Raw genomic sequence first — 18,542 nt, forward strand, 5'->3', positions numbered from 1 at the left:
TCTCAGTAGGAAGCCTCCATATTTGCTGAGGCAAAGGAAGGGAAGGAGAAAGAGTCACACACTGGCAATTAAATGCTGTAGACCAGAAGGTAACATTTGTCATTTCTGTGGCTGCCATAACAGATTATCACAAATTTGGTGGCTTGAAGTAACAGGAATTTATTCTCTCACCATGCTAGATATTGGAAATCTGAAACCAAGGGATCAGCAGGCACATGCACTGCTGTAGGAAGAAGAATATTTTCTCTGAAGGCTGTAGGAAAGAATTTTTTCTTGCCTTTCTCTATCTTCCCGTGGCTCTTGGCAATCCTTGGTGATCCCTTGGCTTATGCATGCACCACTCCAATCTCTACCTCCATCTTCATATTATTCTCTTCTCTGGCTCTGTGTATCTTTTCTTCTTCTTATAAGGACACCAGTCATTGGACTTAGGGTTTATCTGAGTCTTAACTGATTATATCTTCAAAGACCCCATTGCCAAATAATGTTGCATTCTAAGGTTCTGGCTGGATGTGAATTTTAGGGGGATACCATTCAACTCACTATACACACCCAGTGTCCAGAGCTAATCACATAGCCCTGCCTAATGTTAAGAAGACTGGGTAATACAGGTAAGTACATGGGATATTTGGTGCTATAAATGGAATGCTCGTGTTCCCCTAAAATGTTTATGTTGAAGCCCTAATCCCCTACATGGTGGTATTCAGGAGTAAGGCTTTTGGGAGGTAATTTGGGTTAGATGGGGTCATGTTGTTGCCATGATGGGATTAGTGTCCTTATAAAAGGAGAGAGAAGTTTTTTTCCCTCATGTGAGGGCATAGTGAGAAGGCAGCCATCTGCAAGCTGGGAAGAGTCCTCACCAGGAACTAAATGTGCCAGTACCTTGATCTTGGACTTCCCATTTCCAGAACTGTGAGAAATAAATGTCCGTTATTTAAGCCAGACAGTCTCTGGTATTTTGTTCTAGCAGCCCAACCTGACCATGGCAGTGAGTCTTACTATTTCTGCCACAGATATAAGTTTCAATTTTCACCTAAGAAGAAAAAAGAACATCTTAATTTTTACCCCTTTTTCTTTATAGCAAAAAAATGTCATAGCATAATATAATCTTAGAGCTGGAAATAATTTGAGAGATTTCTTAGGCTATGAAATGAGGATTAATTTCTTTTTTTTTCTCTTTGGGTATGCAGCCCCAAAATGAGTATCTTCTTGTTGGGGAAGCCACTAACCCAATTCCAGGCAATGATTTCTATTTTAACAGCCCTGGAAAGTGTTCCTAACAGTAAGTGAAATCTACCTTTCTATGATTCCCATATGTTAATTCTGCATTCTAGAGGCAGATAAGGCCCTCTCTCTGCCACATGACATCTCTACTCATATTCAGAGCTGGCCCTCATGCCAAAGTTCTCTCTTCTCAGGGTAAGCATTCCTAGTTCCTCAATCAAATCTCTTGTGACCGGGTATCACATCTCTTCACTATTACAATTATCTTCTGGATGAACTCCAGCTTGTCAGTGTCACTTCTAAAGTTTTCTCAGAGGTGAAAATAGTGCATAGTCTGGGGAGCACTGAGCAGACTATTTTGCTTCCTTTATCAGGAAATCATACTGGTCTCAAATATTGTTGATTTAAACTCTTAGCTATTAAACTTTTAGCTATTGTTTACATGTGCCCTTACAAAGCCCCAGAGTATCTATCCAGTGAATCTGCTTTTCTTTCATTTGGGTTTGTTTTTGGTCCTAAATCTATAAATTTACATTATCACTGTCATTTAACTTGCTAATGCTGTCCATAACTTTAGAATTTAGAGACATTTTTAGATCCTGATTCTGTTATCCAATGTACCCCATGGGGGTTACACCTTTGAGTCAGGTTCAGGTTTGATCAGCTTCTCCAAGTCTTTGTTGCTTATTATTACATTAGAACCTAAGTCAAAGTTTTTGTTACTTGTATATTCAATGGAATTTTTGTTTTCTGGGCCCCAAACTCTTTTGAATGCTCAATAACAGAACCCTTTTTCCAAATAAATAATATGTGAAACCACGATATGTAAAACAGACAAAAGGGGAATTAGGATGGGTGACTCCAGATTTGGCCAAATCAGCTTCCTCCTCCCACTGAGAACTAATCTTAATACATCTCTTTGAAACCCTACAGCTCCTTGGGAACACAGTGTGAAATGTGTACCTATTATACAAGGTGTTTCACAGACTGATATCTTGAAGCATTTTGCTCATAAGCGAGGTGCAGAGGCCACAGAGGTGAGTATTATGTGGTTGGCCCTCCTATCAGAAACAGTATGGCATAGTTAGTGGTCAAGAGCAAAGCATCCAGACCCAGATTACCTGAGTATGAACTCTAGTTCCACTCCTAGTAAGATGTGTAATCTTGTACAGGCTACATAACTTCCCTGTGCCCCAGTTTCCTAAAATGAGGTCCAGGAAAGAAAAAAATATCTTTTCTTCCCATTGGAGGTTTATGGCTGAGGCTCGTATGAAAGTCAGATTAACAAGAGAAAAGCATGCAAATTTATTTAATATGTTTTATGTGACACAGGAGACTTCAGAAATGAAGACTCAAAAAAAAAAAAACAAGGAAATCTGTGCATTTTTATGCTTAGTCTGATAAAGAAGTGGATAGTCCTAGAGAAGTATGCCTGAACAAAGCGGGTAGGATCTAACAGTAATAAACTGGGGAAAACAGCAAGTTCTGTTTGTTCAGATTCTTCTCATGTCTCCTGTGTCTTCAGAGATAAGGACGTTCCTTGACCTCAGATATAAGGAGGGCACCTCTGTAATGAACATTGTATGACCTGCTTCAGGGAAAAGGGAGAGGGGAAGGTGAGAGAAACCTTCCTGCTTCTGCTGTTTTCTCAAATGCCAAGGTGCCATATTTTGAGGAAGTATGCCCTGCACCTCATCAGAGCACAACAGTACCAATTTAATGAGGCTAATAATAGTACCAACTTCATCAAGATGCTATGAAGACTAAATGAGTTAATACATGTGAAATATTTAGATCCATGCTAACACATAGTAAGAACTACGTAAATGCTGGCTTTCATTATTAGAGCTTTGTTGCTCTGATTTACCGTGTGACCATGGCAATACTCACAAAGCTTCTTAAAATATATGATGTTGTTTTCCACTAGATTAGATGCTTCCACATTGGTCTGAACTACCATTTGAAATGCTCGATCAAAATTTTGGTAAGAAAAAATGTCAGAGACTGTGAATAACTGAGTGAACAAATATTTTTTAAGTGAACTAACAGATGAAATCTATTGAAATTGTAGAACAACTTTCCCTGTAGAGGTGTATCTAACACAATTCAGCTATTATTACTGGCTCTCCTTTGGCCTCCAAGAAGGGAATAAGTAATGGGCCTTGTCCTCATAGGCTGACTTTTCTTTCTTTCTTTTTCTTTCTTTCTTTCTTTCTTTTTCTCTCTTTATCTCTTTCTTTTTCTTCTTTCTTTCCTTCTTTCTTTCTCTCTTTCTTTTTTAATATATGCTCTTGCTCTGTCACTCAGGCTAGAGTGCAGTGGTAAGATCATAACTCACTGCAACCTCAAATTCCTGGGCTTAAGCAGTCCTCCTGCCTCCACATCCCAAGTAGCTAGGACTACTGATGCATATCACCACACCCAGCTAATTTTTTAAAAACTATTTTGTAGCAATAGGGTTTCATTATGTTGTACAGGTTGGTCTCAAACACCTGGCCTTAAGCAATTCTCCACCCTCGGCCTCCCAAAGTGCTGGGGTTACAGGCATGAGCCACTGTGTCAGGCAAGGCTGAAATGTTTTTATCTTTCCCAATGTACACATGTATCTGAGCCACGCATATAATTTTGTTCAAGCAATAACCACCAATACATATAACAGATGCTTCATATGCTTTCTAGATTTTTCTCTATAGTTGCATCGTGGAATTATCCTTTTTCCCTCAGGATAATTATGTATTTATTCATGAAATATATATCTTTTTGGGCTATGTACCTTACAAAATGTTCTTTCAGGACCTTTAGGGTCAGATGTTTCTATTGTATAATCTAAACACTGCTTAACAAAATGCACCAATTCTGCTTGACTTTGGAGAACTAACCTGCAGATCTGTACCCTTGAAGAGGCTGCACAGGCATTGGCCTACCTGGTAGTACATAAGCCCTTCATCTCTTACCCCTCAAAAATCCAACATCCCTGAAGGCCAATGTCCTATATAGCCTTCAAATGCAAATATTCCTGAGAGTGGTAATTGTTGAGATAAATTCACACAAATATAACACTTGTCCTGAGAAGGACTTGAGAGAGAGTGCTCCTGGGGCACAGCAGAGCCTGGAAAGAGAAGGGTCAGAGAAGCCTGAGCACCCAAAACAAACTGCTTTATAGCTTAACCTAGAGTGAGCATGCTTTCTCCAATGCAGCCTCAGATTTCTTACTTGACCAGCAGAGTAAAACTGCAAGAAACATAGGAGAAGCAGTTGTTCTTAGTAAGGGTGAAGAAGGCTCATGAAAAGAGCTGAACAAACTGGGCGCAGGCGCCCAAGATACATGCTAAATTGTGATCAGAGATCTGTCACTCACCAACAGGTCCACACACAAAATTTGTGAAGCCATGGTAAGAGTACAAAGGGAGGCCCTCATACTATACATATAAATACATGAATGTTACAATCGAGTACCAAACTGTTAAATAAAACATATCCTCCCCTCTTACTTGGAGATATGGCTTCATAATAATCTGGAGGGCCCACTCCCACCTCATCCCATCTCTGATGAATACCACTATTCTTCAGCCTCTCTGAAGCATAGGGATGCACATACCACAACTGTGGTTTACCCTCTGAAGGATGAACCCAGGGGAGAGATCCAAGCAAGCCCTAGAAGCAGTAAGTTTAGGAGTCCACCAGCTCCAGATAGGCATAACCGTCTGGCCTGCCAACTCCTCACCAGGGAAGAATGCAGCCGAGGAAAGAATGGCATGGTGCCTAGGGCTGGCCACATTGGTCCTGGGGCCATGAGTAGGGCCCACGGACTGCCAGCAGTACCTACACATGCACGTTGCCCCCAGAAACAACCTGCTTGCCCCCAGAAGCAGACCTCATCAGGCTTCTGGACTCTATTGTTTACTCCAAGAAGAAGAATCTAATGAGATGTTGCCTTGAGAGCCACTATGACTCAGTCTCCAAGGCCTCCTCACATCCTGAAGACTAGCCCAGTGGGGATAGGAAACCGGGAGCTAAAAAGCTTCGCCAATTTGGACGAGCTTCTGAGGCAGCAGCTCTCAGCCTAGATCACATCCTAGATGTGAGAGAACTCCAGGGCTGGAATTCTCTGAAGCTTTATCCTCGGGCAAGCAGTTACATCGGGAACATTTAATAATGAGTGCTGAGGCCACACGCGGTGGCTCACGCCTGTAATCCCAGCACTTTGAGAGGCCGAAGCGGGCAGATCACGAGGTCAGGAGACCGAGAACATCCTAGCTAACAGGATGAAACCCCGTCTCTACTAAAAACACAAAAAAAAATTAGCCGGGCATGGTTGCGGGCGCCTGTACTCCCAGCTACTCGGGAGGCTGAGGCGGGACAAGGGCGTGAACACGGGAGGCGGAGCTTGCAGTGAGCAGAGGTGGCGCCACTACACTCCAGCCTGGTCAACAGAGCGAGACTCCGTCTCAAAAAATAAATAAATAAATAAATAAATAAATAAATAAATAAATAAATAGTGCTGAAGATGAAAGAAAAATTTTCCGTCTGTCATCCATAAAAAAACAAATTTTGATCAGCCATGCTAGGTTAAATATTGAATTATCTTTCTATTTTCTATGGAGAATATTACAATGTATTGCCATAGGAAGAGCCAACCAAAGAATATGCTGCCATAAATGTACAAATAATTATGATAGAGGAGTGATAGACAGACACTGTTTCAATTTTATCTTTAAAAGATACCCAGGAAGAAAAAAAATACAAACCACAACAGTTGTTGGCCAACCCACTCCCACAGTTTCTGTATAACAATTATTAATACTTTGTGAGCATTTACTGTGTTCCAAGTATTATTCTACTTGCTTTATATAGATTATCACATGTAATCCTCATTATCCCCATTTCAGAGATGGGGCGTGGAGTAGTTAAATAATGTTCCAGAAGGCATCCATCTAGTACTTGTTGGAGCCAGGATTTGAGCCCATACATCTGTTTCTCCAGAACCCACACTCTTAACTCCACTGAGACTATCTATCTTCTTGGATCCCCATTAGGCATGAAAATAAAAAGCTGTATCCTAGTCCCAACTACTAGTCATACAATCTTGGGCTACTATATTTAAACTCTCTGTTATTGTTTATAAAGTAGGAACAACAATAATAACTCCCTCATAGGGCTGTTCTAAGGACTAAAGGAAAGCTACAAAAGTGCCTAGTGTAATGATAGTGTAATGCTAGATATTATATAAGTATAGGTCCCTCTCTTTCCTCTTTTCTTCTTTTTTTTTATTATTTGGCTACTTGGCTACTTGAGCTGCTTTCTTTTCACTATTTGAACATGCAATTCACAGTAATAATATTGGTTTCCCTTTTGGCATATTTACTAATTAAATATTTCCATCTTCCTATCTTAGAACTTCCATTTCTACTGTAATCACCAGGTTGCTCATTTTGTTTGTTTTTGTAAAGCACCATAAATCTTTCCTTTTAGGAAAAGGCAGGATGTAACTTACAAATTATGTAAATGAAAGTACAAGGTTCTGTGGGCCATCATAACTCTGTCATCACTCCTGGAAATGGTCTTGCAAAGCACATGTCTGTCAAGTCAGCAGTTCTGTTTTGACGCAGAAGGACATTTATTTCATCTGGACAGCCTTCTACTTTCTCTAACTACAAACTTCCAAATTTTGTGGGTGGGTCAGAAATATGCTGTGTGAAGTAAATGTGCTGGCCCAGATCTGGAGGATCGATTTCCTCCCTTGAAGAGAACAAGCCATTTTATTCCTTGCTTAAAGTGGCCAAGAGAAAGACCCTTCTACAGGGACCAAAAAAAAAAATCAACTACTCTTTACAATCAGGCAGGTCGAGTGAACCAGAACTCAGATTTCCTGCTCTGCAGCTGTGTCTCCATTCATTGAGCAAATGCGGGAGCTTCTTCCTCTTACCACTGGGCAAGAATGCAATTTTTTTTCCTAACAGAAAGAAAATCCCCTCTGACAGTTCCACCCACTAGAGATTACTCTGGTGCTGGCCCAAGCTATTTGCATCATAGCTGCACCCTCCAGGCCCCAGTTGCATCACAGAGAAGCGGAAGCCCCGGAGGGATACTATCTCTGCCAGTTTCTCTAGGTTGCAATTAATTTTAAAAGTGAAACCAACCATATGCTTCCTTTACTTAGCACATTCCTGGGACACTGCAGCTACTTGCTGGATAAGCCAAGCAAAGGAAGCAAAAAAGCCTTGGGCTCAGAAGGCGTAGACAGCTTCCTCCTTTTGGCATTCAGGGAGCCCAGTTCCACTCTCAAACCTTTGTTAATCTGCCTTTAATTCCCCGAACTGCCTGTTCTCTAGTGGTCCGATGAGCTCCCAGCTCCTTAATACCCAAATAAGGAGATCAGGGCTGGTTCCTGCTTCAGCAGAGACTGAGAGGCCTAGAGTAAATGGACTCGGAATTAAGTACTCAGGTGACCTCCGGACTTTGAACCTGACATGTCCCTGCTGGGGAAGGGTTGTCAAGGCACTGAAAGACTACACTCATTCTGAGTCTATAAACTGAGCATCTGTGACTACGGGCAATGTTTAGAATTGTCAGAGGCTGGCTCTTGGCCTCTCTCTCCACCACTTCCTTCTCAGAAACTCAGAGCACCCTAAGAACTTTTGCTGCTTCTTGGTCCCCAGGATTCCTACGCCCTCACTCATTTCCCTGCCTCCCCCAGATATCATTCCGTTAAGCAATTCCTTGTTAACAAACAATTGCTGGCTTTGCATTTCTCTTTCCTCCAAAATCGCCGAGGCCTCTACTTACTGCTAAAAAAGAGGACTCTGTATAATTTTTAAATGAAGAGTGTTGTTTTTACCTAAATCAATCTGGCCTGGTATATGACAACAACAACAAAAGAACTCAAGGATAGAGCCAAAAAACTCGCCAACCAAGCAAGTAATTATGCTGAACCCCCTTGGGCACTCTCTAATTAGATGTTCTGGGCCCTCCCGATTCTTAGTTCTTTAATACCTGTTTTTCTCCTTCTCTTATTCGGACCTTGTGTCTTCCATTTAGTTTTTCAATTCATACAAAACCGCATCCAGGCCATCACTAATCATTCCATACGACAAATGCTCCTTCTAACAACCCCACAATATCGCCCCTTACCACAAAATCTTCTTCAGCTTAATATCTCCCACTCTAGGTTCCCACGCCGCCCCTAATCCTGCTCGAAGCAGCCCTGAGAAATATTGCCCATTATCTCTCCATACAACCCCCGAAAAATTTTCACTGCCCCAACTCTTCAATACTATTTTATGTTATTTTTCTTATTGATATAAAAAGACAGGAATGTCAGGCCTCTGGGCCCAAGCTAAGCCAACATATCCCCTGTGACCTGCAAGTATACATCCAGATGGCCTGAAACAAGTGAAGAATCACAAAAGTGAAAATGGCAGGTTACTGCCTTAACTGATGACATTCCACCATTGGGATTTGTTCCTGCACCACCTTAACTGAGAGATTAACCTTGTGAAATTCCTTCTGGCTCAGAAGCTCCCCAACTGAGCACCTTGTGACTCCCACCCCTGCCCGCAAGAGAAAAACCCCCTTTGACTGTAATTTTCCACTACCCGCCAAAATCCTATAAAACGACCCCACCCCATCTCCCTTCACTGACTCTCTTTTCGGACTCAGCCCGCCTGCACCCAGGTGAAATAAACAGGCTTGTTGCTCACACAAAGCCTGATTGGTGGTCTGTTCACACGGACGCATGTGACAATCCTGACTTCTTTTATTCTGCTGATGCTGCACCCCTTGACACTTACAACACTCCGGTGCCTTACATATTGTGAATTAAATAGAATTTAAGGTATTCGACAGTCTATTATCTCATTTTCCTGTACTGCCCTAATTCCTCCCTCATTTTCCAATATGCTTTCTTCTACATAATGAGATCTCAACCTGGATGCCCTCCTTGGGAAGATCACAAACATTGTTGACTCCATGCTGCATTGCCAACCCTGACCCCCGTGACAGCCACGCTCTTCCCCTTACTCTGCCCTTAACATCCATATCATTCTGACCCTACAGGACCTCAACCACTACCCACTCCCCTTCATCTACATTACCTCAAATTCAGCCTATCCTTCAAGAACATTACCTTGAAGGCCCATGTTACCATCCATATCTTATATCAAATGACATCAACCCTGTCTACTCTGACAGCCAATGATTTTTTTTCTTCCGGCTGATGGAAGAGCCTCTACCAGAAGATTTACTTTATTATGACAGAATAATATACCATAATATACCAAACCACCTGCAGATACCTACCTTCTGACCAGACTCCAACATTAACTAACTGTGTGAGATAGAGCAAGCCTTATTTTCCTAGGTATAAAATAAAAGGGTCTAAATGAAACAACCTCACAAATCAAGCATCTCTATGGGCCACCTGAACTAAATCTTTAATCCCTCCTTTCTTTACTTCAATATTTTTAAATAATACCTTTTACCTTTCAATAATAATAATAGATGTTAACATTTCAATACCTTTTAAATAGTACCTTTTACTTCAATACCTTTTAAAAGAATTGGGAAAAATTTGTAGCAAACTTACTAACAGAAATGAAAAAGTAGTCCCGACAGAGAGGATGATGTCCCAAAGGAAATGTTGCAGTCAAAAAAAAAACTTCACATGAAGAGAACTCTCAGAGATATTTCACAACATGGAAAGCACACAGGATAAGATGTTGGAAACAGATACAAACTTAAAAAGGAGTATGACAATTCACTGTTGACCAAAAAAAAAAAATCAAACTCTGTAAAATATTTAAAAAGGTTTATTCTGAGCCAAATATGAGCGACCAAGTCCTGTGACACAGCCCCAGGAGGTCCTGAGAACCAAGGTGGTTGTGTTACAGTTTGGTTTTATAAAATTTAAGGTGATAGAAGTTAAAGGCAGAAATCAACCAATACATGGATGGTGTACATTGGTTCTGTCTGAAAAGGTGGAACAACTCAAAGGGCTGGCAGGGAGCGGGCAGTGGGGGCACACTCCAGGTCATACATAGAGTTGAAGATTTTCTGATTGGCAACTGGCTGAAAGAGTTGTTATTATCTAAAGACCTAGAATCAATAGAAAAGAATGTCTGGGTTAAAATAAGATGTTTTGCAGACCAAGGTTTTATCATGCAGATGAAACCTCCAGTAAATGTCCAGTAAATGTCTCTAATCAGACTTAAAAAGGTGCCAGACTCTTAATTAATATCTCCTGGATCAGGAAAAGACCTGGAAAAGGAAAGGGGATTCTCTACAAAATGTAGATTTTCCCCACAAGAGACAGCTTTCCAGGGCCATTTCAAAATATGTCAAAGAAATATATTTTGGGATAAAATACTTTCATTTATTTTAGGTCCTGCTGTTATGTGATGCTATACTAGAATCAGGTAGGAATTTGGTGTCTTATTGCTACAAAGAGTCTGTTTTGTCAGTCTTAAGATGTGTTGTAATACGAATGCAGTCAGCTGTGCCTGAATTGCAAAGGGAGGAGAGTACAATGAGAAATGTCTGACTCCCCCTTCCCATCATGGCCAGAACTAGTTTCTGAGGTTTACTTTGGTTGATTTCCCTTCTAGAGGAGGAATCCATTCAGTCGGTTGGATGTGCTTAAGATTTTATATATGGTTCACATCACCAAGACAAGGAAAAGATGTTCACTGTTTTATAAGAGGGCAAATACTGTTCAAGCTACACTTGATAAGTTTTCTACTTCTCAGTGTTTTAAATTCTGAATGTTCTAGTGTTTAAGTTGCAGTATACTAAGTATTAGTTTTATACATTTATAACCGAGAGTAAGAGAGTTTTTAATGTTTTGACCAAAATTTTTAGCGGTCATGTTAACAATTGTGATTCTTCCCATTGATTATTGAGATTGCACATTTTTCGCTTGCACAGTTATTTTTATGACGCCACACTACTGAGCAAAGTGAGAGCTGTTTATATTGATTTGCATATTTATAAGTTGACATTTCAATTTTTCATCACAAATTTAAATAGTTGCTATATAGGTAAAGGGAAAGTTTCCCGTTCAACCTCAGAAAGTTCGCTAAAAAATCAACTCATAAAAGGCAGATTAATAGGAGAAAAAGCATACAAATTTATTTGATCATAGCTTTGCATGACGCAGGAGCCTTCAGAATGAAGTCCCAACTTCCTAATGCAGAAGCTTATATACCATCTTGAGGTTACAGAAAGAATAGAGGCATGGATCCTGGCAAACTAGGTATGGGACAGGGAGAAGAGGAATTCTGTTGAAGAACAATAAGTAATTACTAGGCAGAATTCAGTGGACTTGCAGAACATACAATGGTCTAGGACAAAGTCTATTAGGCCTGCAGAGCAGGCAATGGTTTGTGACAAAAGTCTGTACAGGTTTTTTAACAGACGTTAGTCTTCCTTCCTGCGATATGCATTGAGGACTGAACTTTGACCTTTTGTCTTTTGCCCAAATTCCTATCTAAGGGACCTTCGGAATCACACCCTAGAAACCATAGATTCTGGTTTGCTATTAACCTGGTATAATGTGGATTCCTTTCCAACCCGACTTTAGTATAGCATCACACGACAGAGAGCAGACCCTCTGTATCTTAACTCAAGCATTTCTTTCTACCGACTTCAAGTGTTTATACAACAGTTTAACTCTCTCAGTTGTCATCTTGAGAATCCCTAAAACCCATCTATGATTTGTAAGCCCCAGTTTCAAGACGTCTGCCTGTTCAGGCCGGACCAATGTCCTGCCTGTTCAGGCCAAATTTTGTATGTATTGATTTATTATTTTACTTGCAATTTCTGTCTCTCTGAAATGTGTAAAACCAAACAGTAGCCCAACCACCTCGGGTGCGCTTTCTCAGGCCCTCTTGAGATTGTGCAACTATGGGCCGTGGTCATTCATATTGGCTTATAATTAACCTCTGTAAATATACATTGGCAGAATTTGTGTTTCTCATCATCGGGGTTCAGTTAATGAAAACTCATGGAAGAGACCAAAGGTTTTTGTTTTCTTCTCTTGTAGGTCCAGACTTTAGGTAGATAAGGAAATTTAGAGAGCAACTTCATCCTATGCTTTGGGAGAAATGGGGGAAGGTGGGGGCCTCAGAGAGACTATGAGGCTCAAAGTCCAGTTCAAAGCAGCATATTTTGGAGTATCTGTTTCCAGGCTCTAACACTACTAAAGATGTAATTTCCAGCAAATTTCTCCTTGAAGTTGTGCAAAATATGCAAGTGAACATTGACTGGTGCCTAAATAAAGGAGGCTTTGTACATATCGGTATTTTAAATCTTCCCCACAACACACACACACACACATCCACCATAACCACCCCACACTTCTCTCTTTGGAGTTCCTTCTTATGTAAAGTGGGAGAAAGATTTTCTTTTCCTAAGCAAAGTTTGAAAAGGACAACCCAGCATATTCTCAGGGAGAGTTTTATGGAAATTGAGGGTCTGGAACTTGTTTTCCCTAAAACTACTTGTGGCCACATACACCTTAATTTTGGTGCACCTGCAGGGTAAGTAGTGCCCCAGTTTAAAGACCCTGGCTATTAATATCCTATGACGCTGATCTAGAGCCCAGTTCCTTTCCTCTACCCTCACCCTCTCTTTCTATGGCTTTGGTTTTATTGAACTAGTGGCACCTTTCTCAGCTGCAGTTCATGGAGCTATTAATATGTCATGGGCTTTCTGGCTTGGTTTGCTGGCTTTGTACTGTACTCAGCCAGTGCCTACAGAGGGTAAGCTGCGCCAGGTTCTTGTGAATGAAAAGAAAGGAATCATCACAAGGCACACCCCATTGCATCTTTTCCCAAGCAGCTTCCTGCGTACTGACTTGTACTAACAATGAAAGGGAAATTTCTTAGGTGTAATTTTCCACACCCCAAGTTCAAACAGCACAAGCTTGCTCAACCTGAAGCCCACAAGGAATGTTTTACAGATAATCAGTATGTTCTAACTTAATTCCTCACATCTCTTAAGAAGGATCACTTACATCTCTTAAGGAGTCAGCCAAGTCAACACGATATAATAAAACCCAATTGGAACTGTGGACCCAGTGCTGCCAGGACTCTCTTTCAGTCTCTTTTGTTTTTATATATTTTTCTGCATATGGGCCTCATCCTCTCTCGTTAGTGAGTAGTTTTCTTTATTATTATTATTATTATTGTTATTATTTTACTTTAAGTTCTGGGATACGTGTGCAGAACATGCAGGTTTGTTACACAGGTACACACCTGCCATGGTGGTTTGCTGCACGCATCAACTTCTCATCTACATTAGATATTTCTCCTAATGCCATCCCTCCCCTGACAGGCCCCAGTGTGTGATGTTCCCCTTCCTGTGTCCATGTGTTCTCATTGTTCAGCTCCCACTTATGAGTGAGAACATGCGGTGTTTGGTTTTCTGTTCCTATGTTAGTTTGCTGAGAATGATGGTTTCCAGCTTCATCCATGTCCCTGCAAAGGACATAAACTCATACTTTTTTGTGTGTCTGCATAGTATTCCATGGTGTATATATGCCACATTTTCTTTATCCAGTCTATCATTGATGGGCATTTAGGTTGGTTCCAAGTTTTCGCTATTCTGAACAGTGCTGCAATAAACATACATGTGCATGTGTGTTTATAGTAGAATGATTTATAATCTTTGGGTATACACCCAGTAATGGGATTGCTGGGTCAAATGGTATTTCTGGTTCTAGATCCTTGAGGAATCACCACATTGTCTTCCACAATGGTTGAACTAATTTACATTCACACCAACAGTGTAAAAGCCTTCCTATTTCTCCACATCCTCTCCAGCATCTGTTGTTTCCTGACTTTTTAATGATCGCCATTCTAACTGGCATGAGATGGTATCTCATCGTGGTTTTGATTTGCATTTCTTTAATGACCAGTGATGATGAGCTTTTTCTCATATATGTGTTGGCCACATAAATGTCTTCTCTTGAGAAGTGTCTGTTCATTTCCTTTGCCCACTTTTTGATGGGGTTGTTTTTTTCTTGTAAATTTGTTTAAAAGTTCCTTGCAGATTCTGGATATTAGTCCTTTGTCGGATGGATAGATTGCAAAAATTTTCTCCCATTCTGTAGGTTGTCTCTTCACTCCGATGATCGTTTCTTCTGCTGTGCAGAAGCTCTTTAGTTTAATTAGATCCACTTTGTCATTGGCTTTTGTTGCCATTGCTGTTGGTGTTTTAGTCATGAACTCTTTGCCCATGCCTATGTCCTGAATAGCATTGCCTAGGTTTTCTTCTAGGGTTTTTATGGTTTTAGGTCTTACATTTAAGTCTTTAATCCACCTTGAGTTAATTTTTGTATAAGGTGTAAGGAAGGGGTCCAGTTTTCTGCATGTGGCTAGCCAGTTTTCCCAATACCATTTATTAAATGGGGAATCCTTTCCCCATTGCTTGTTTTTCTCAGGTTTGTCAAAGATCAGATAGCTGTAGATGTGTGGTGTTATTTCTGAGGCCTCTGTTCTGTTCCATTGGTCTATATATCTGTTTTGGTACCAGTACCATGCTGTTTTTGTTACTGTAGCCTTGTAGTATACTTTGAAGTCAGGTAGTGTGATGCCTCCAGCTTTGTTCTTTTTGCTTAGGGTTGTCTTGGTGATATGGGCTCTTGTTTGGTTCCATATGAAATTTAAAGTAGCTTTTTCTAATTCTGTGAAGAAAGTCAATGGTAGCTTCATGGGGATAGCATTGAAACTATAAATTACTTTGGGCAGTATGGCCATTTTCACGATATTGATTCTTCCTATCCATGAGCATGGAATGTTTTTCCATTTGTTTGTTTCCTCTCTTATTGCCTTGAGCAGTGGTTTGTAGCTCTCCTTGAAGAGGCCCTTCACATTCCTTGTAAGTTGTATTCCTAGGTATTTTATTGTCTGTAGCAATTGTGAATGGAAGTTCACTCATGATTTGGCTCTCTGTTTGTCTATTTTTGGTGTATAGGAATGCTTGTGACTTTTGTACATTGATTTTGTATCCTGAGATCTTGCTGAAGTTGCTTATCAGCTTAAGGAGATTTTGGGTTGAGATGATGGGGTTTTCTAAATATACAATCATGCCATTTGCAAACAAAGACAATTTGACTTCCCCTCTTCATATTTGAATACCCTTTATTTCTTTCTCTTGCCTGATTGCCCTGGCCAGAACTTCTAATACTATGCGAATGGGAGTGGTAAGAGAGGGCATCCTTGTCTTGTGTCAGTTTTCAAAGGGAATGCTTCTAGCTTTTGCCCTTTCAGTATGATATTGGCTGTGGGTTTGTCATAAATAGCTCTTATTATTTTGAGATACATTCCATCAATACCTAGTTTATTGAGAGTTTTTATCATGAAGGGGTGTTGAATTTTATCAAACGCCTTTTCTGCATCTATTGAGAATCATGTGGTTTTTGTCATTGGTTCTGTTTATGTGATGGATTATGTTTATTGATTTGCATATATTGAACCAGACTTGCATCCCAGGGATGAAGCTGACTTGATTGTGGTGGATAAGGTTTTCGATGTGCTGCTGGATTCAGTTTGCCAGTATTTTATTCAGGATTTTTGCATCGATGTCATCAGGAATATTGACCTGAAATTTTCTTTCTTTTTTTTTTTTTTTTTTTTTGTATCTCTGTCAGGTTTTGATATCAGGCTGATGCTAGCCTCATAAAATGAGTTATGGAGGAGTCCCTCTTTATCTACTGTTTGCAATAGTTTCAGAAGGAATGGTACCAGGTCCTCTTTGTATCTCTGGTAGAATTCGGCTGTGAATCTGTCTGGTCCTGGGCTTTTTTTGTTGGTAGGCTATTAATTACTGCCCCAATTTCATACCACCACTGGGGTATGAAAAAAAACTTTTGCAGCTAGCTCGCTGTCTGCCCAAATGGCCGCCTAGTTTTGTGCCTGAAACCCAGGGCCCTAGTAGTGTAGGCACCTGAGGGATTCTCCTGGTCTGCGGGTTGCGAAGACCATGGGAAAAGCGTAGTATCTGGGCTGGAATGCGTTGTTCCTCACAGCACAGTCCCTCATGGCTTCCCTTGGCTAGGGGAGGGAGTTCCCCAACCCCTTGCACTTCCCAGGTGAGGTGACATCCCACCCTGCTTCAGCTTGCCCTCCATGGGCTTCACCCACTGTCTAACCAGTCCCAATGAGATGAGCTGGGTATCTCAGTTGGAAATGCAGAAATCACCCACCTTCTTCATTGATCTCACTGAGAGCTGCAGTCCAGAGCTATTCCTATTCAACCATCTTTCATGGTGAATTAGCTGAATAGTTTTCCATATGTTTGGGTAAACATATAGAAAACTCTTGAATTTGACCTCCTACAACTTCTACCATATAAACCAAAATTAAAATTCTAAGCCTTTCAACTGACTGATGGATCCTCCTCTTGGCCAAGGGCATTCCAAAGTAAACCTGATAATCTATTTCTGGGTTCTGGCCATGATGGAAATGATGTGGTGGGGTGGGGGCAGGACAGACACGCCTTACTGTACTCTTCTCCCTTTGGAATTCAGGCACAATGAACCAGCATTAACATTAAAACAGAGATCTTAAGCCTGACAAAACAGACTCTGTAGCAATAAGACACCAAATTCCTACCTGACTCTATATAGCATCATATGACAGACAGCAAGCCATGATAGAAATGGAAGTATTTTACCCCAAAATACATTTCTTTGACATATTTTGAAATGGCCCTATAAAACTGTTTCTTGTGGAGAAAATCTACATTCTGTAGAGAATCCCCTTCCCTTTCTAGGTCTTTACCCTGATCCAGAAGAGCTTAATTAAGAGTCACACTTTGTTAGGTCTGATTAGAGATATTTACTGTCTATTCTCTCTGAAGCCTGCTACCTGGAGGTTTCATGTGCTTAGTAAAACCTCAGTTTGCACAACGTCCTATTTTAACACAGACATTCCTTTCTATTGATTCCAGATTTTTAGATAATAACTCCTCCAATCGATTGCCAATCAGAAAATCTTTGAATCCACCAAACCAATTATACATCTTACATGTATTAGTTCATGTCTTATGCCTTCCTAAAATGTATAAAACCAAGCTGTAGCCCAACCATCTTGGGCACATGTTTTCATGATCTTCTGGAGCTATGTCATGGTCGCCATGTATACCTCAGAATAAAACTTCAAAGACTCTTTCATTGACTCTCCATTGACAACCACAAGAGTTGGACTTCTCTCTCTCATTATCTCTCTCTCTCGCTCGCTCTTCTTCCCCCTCAAGCCCAAAAGTCCTTGAGCATAGAATTCATTGATTAAAGGATTAAAGTGTGGGAGACCAAGGCAATGACCAGAGATTTGGAACAATGCAATATGTTCATAGAAAACCAAAATACTTTGATGGAGTGGAGAAAAATCCAGTCGTTAAGACCATCAGTGATCTTATATAACATATTTGGGTTTTGCTTTGAAGGCAATGAAGGTGTCATTGAAGGATTTTAAGCAGAGTAGTGGCAAGATCAAAATTCATTTTAATGCATGCACTGTAGCCTGGAGAGAGGACTTGGAGGGGATTGAGTTCATATGGCCATGCATCAGTGCCAGTGACCTGCAATATTTCACTTGCCCCCTGCTATCTGTGAGACAATGCATGTGAGGGGTATAGGTAACAGGGAGTAGCCTTCATTTCTTTCCCTTGAGTGAGGAAAAAAAATTACTTTTAATCGCACATTTGTAAACTGCTGCCAGAGTGTCTCTATTTGGGCTACCTCTATTGGAAACTGTCTTGTACTTCTTTCCTAATTTGACCTCTCAAGGAGTCAAGTCTTGTTGTCTGGCCTTGTCTAATTGCTACGGGACAGTTTTCTTGTTGCTTTCTTCTCAGACATATTAGTTATTGTTTCTGATTAATAGTTCATGCCTGGCAACCCTCAGGAAAAGTCTCCAAATCATCCATGTCACTGATAGGGTTAGAAGCTGCTATACATAAACCCTCTTTTGTTCCCTGTCATTGAGAACTGACATTTCATTATCTATGTGTTACTTTCCCTCTTAATGAGCAATAAGCTTTGTTTGACATGAGCGGCAGATGAATTTGCCTAAGAAAATTTGCTTTAACAGAAGACTGTCCAAAGACATTCTTGCTGGACCTGAGAGTTAGCTACATGCTAGCAAGCATGAATCATCCTTAGACGTCTATGAAAACCATAAAGACAGTGTGTAAACGTCACAGTCCATAGGCTACAGGCTTTTGTTCTTTAATAAACTGCCATTGCTAAAGGGGGAAAAAACTAAGCGTACCATACACTTTACCTCAGAACCATTTTTATTATTTATGTAACTCAGTGG

The 18,542-nt window shown here is 40.6% G+C and overlaps 2 annotated features.

The window, feature by feature from the left end:
* Window positions 6,788–7,353: an enhancer, noted in NCBI's record as "H3K27ac hESC enhancer chr1:173091817-173092382 (GRCh37/hg19 assembly coordinates)". NCBI's record gives its function as "activates a minimal SCP1, AML or CMV promoter by ChIP-STARR-seq in naive H9 embryonic stem cells {active_cell/tissue: H9 hESC(naive)}" and the evidence as "EXISTENCE:reporter gene assay evidence [ECO:0000049][PMID:30033119]".
* Window positions 7,380–7,674: a silencer, noted in NCBI's record as "tiled region #615; HepG2 Repressive non-DNase unmatched - State 5:Enh". NCBI's record gives its function as "represses a minimal TATA promoter and a strong SV40 promoter by Sharpr-MPRA in HepG2 cells {active_cell/tissue: HepG2}" and the evidence as "EXISTENCE:reporter gene assay evidence [ECO:0000049][PMID:27701403]".

This window comes from Homo sapiens, chromosome 1 (genome assembly GCF_000001405.40).
Source record: "Homo sapiens chromosome 1, GRCh38.p14 Primary Assembly".
Taxonomy (NCBI): domain Eukaryota; kingdom Metazoa; phylum Chordata; class Mammalia; order Primates; family Hominidae; genus Homo; species Homo sapiens.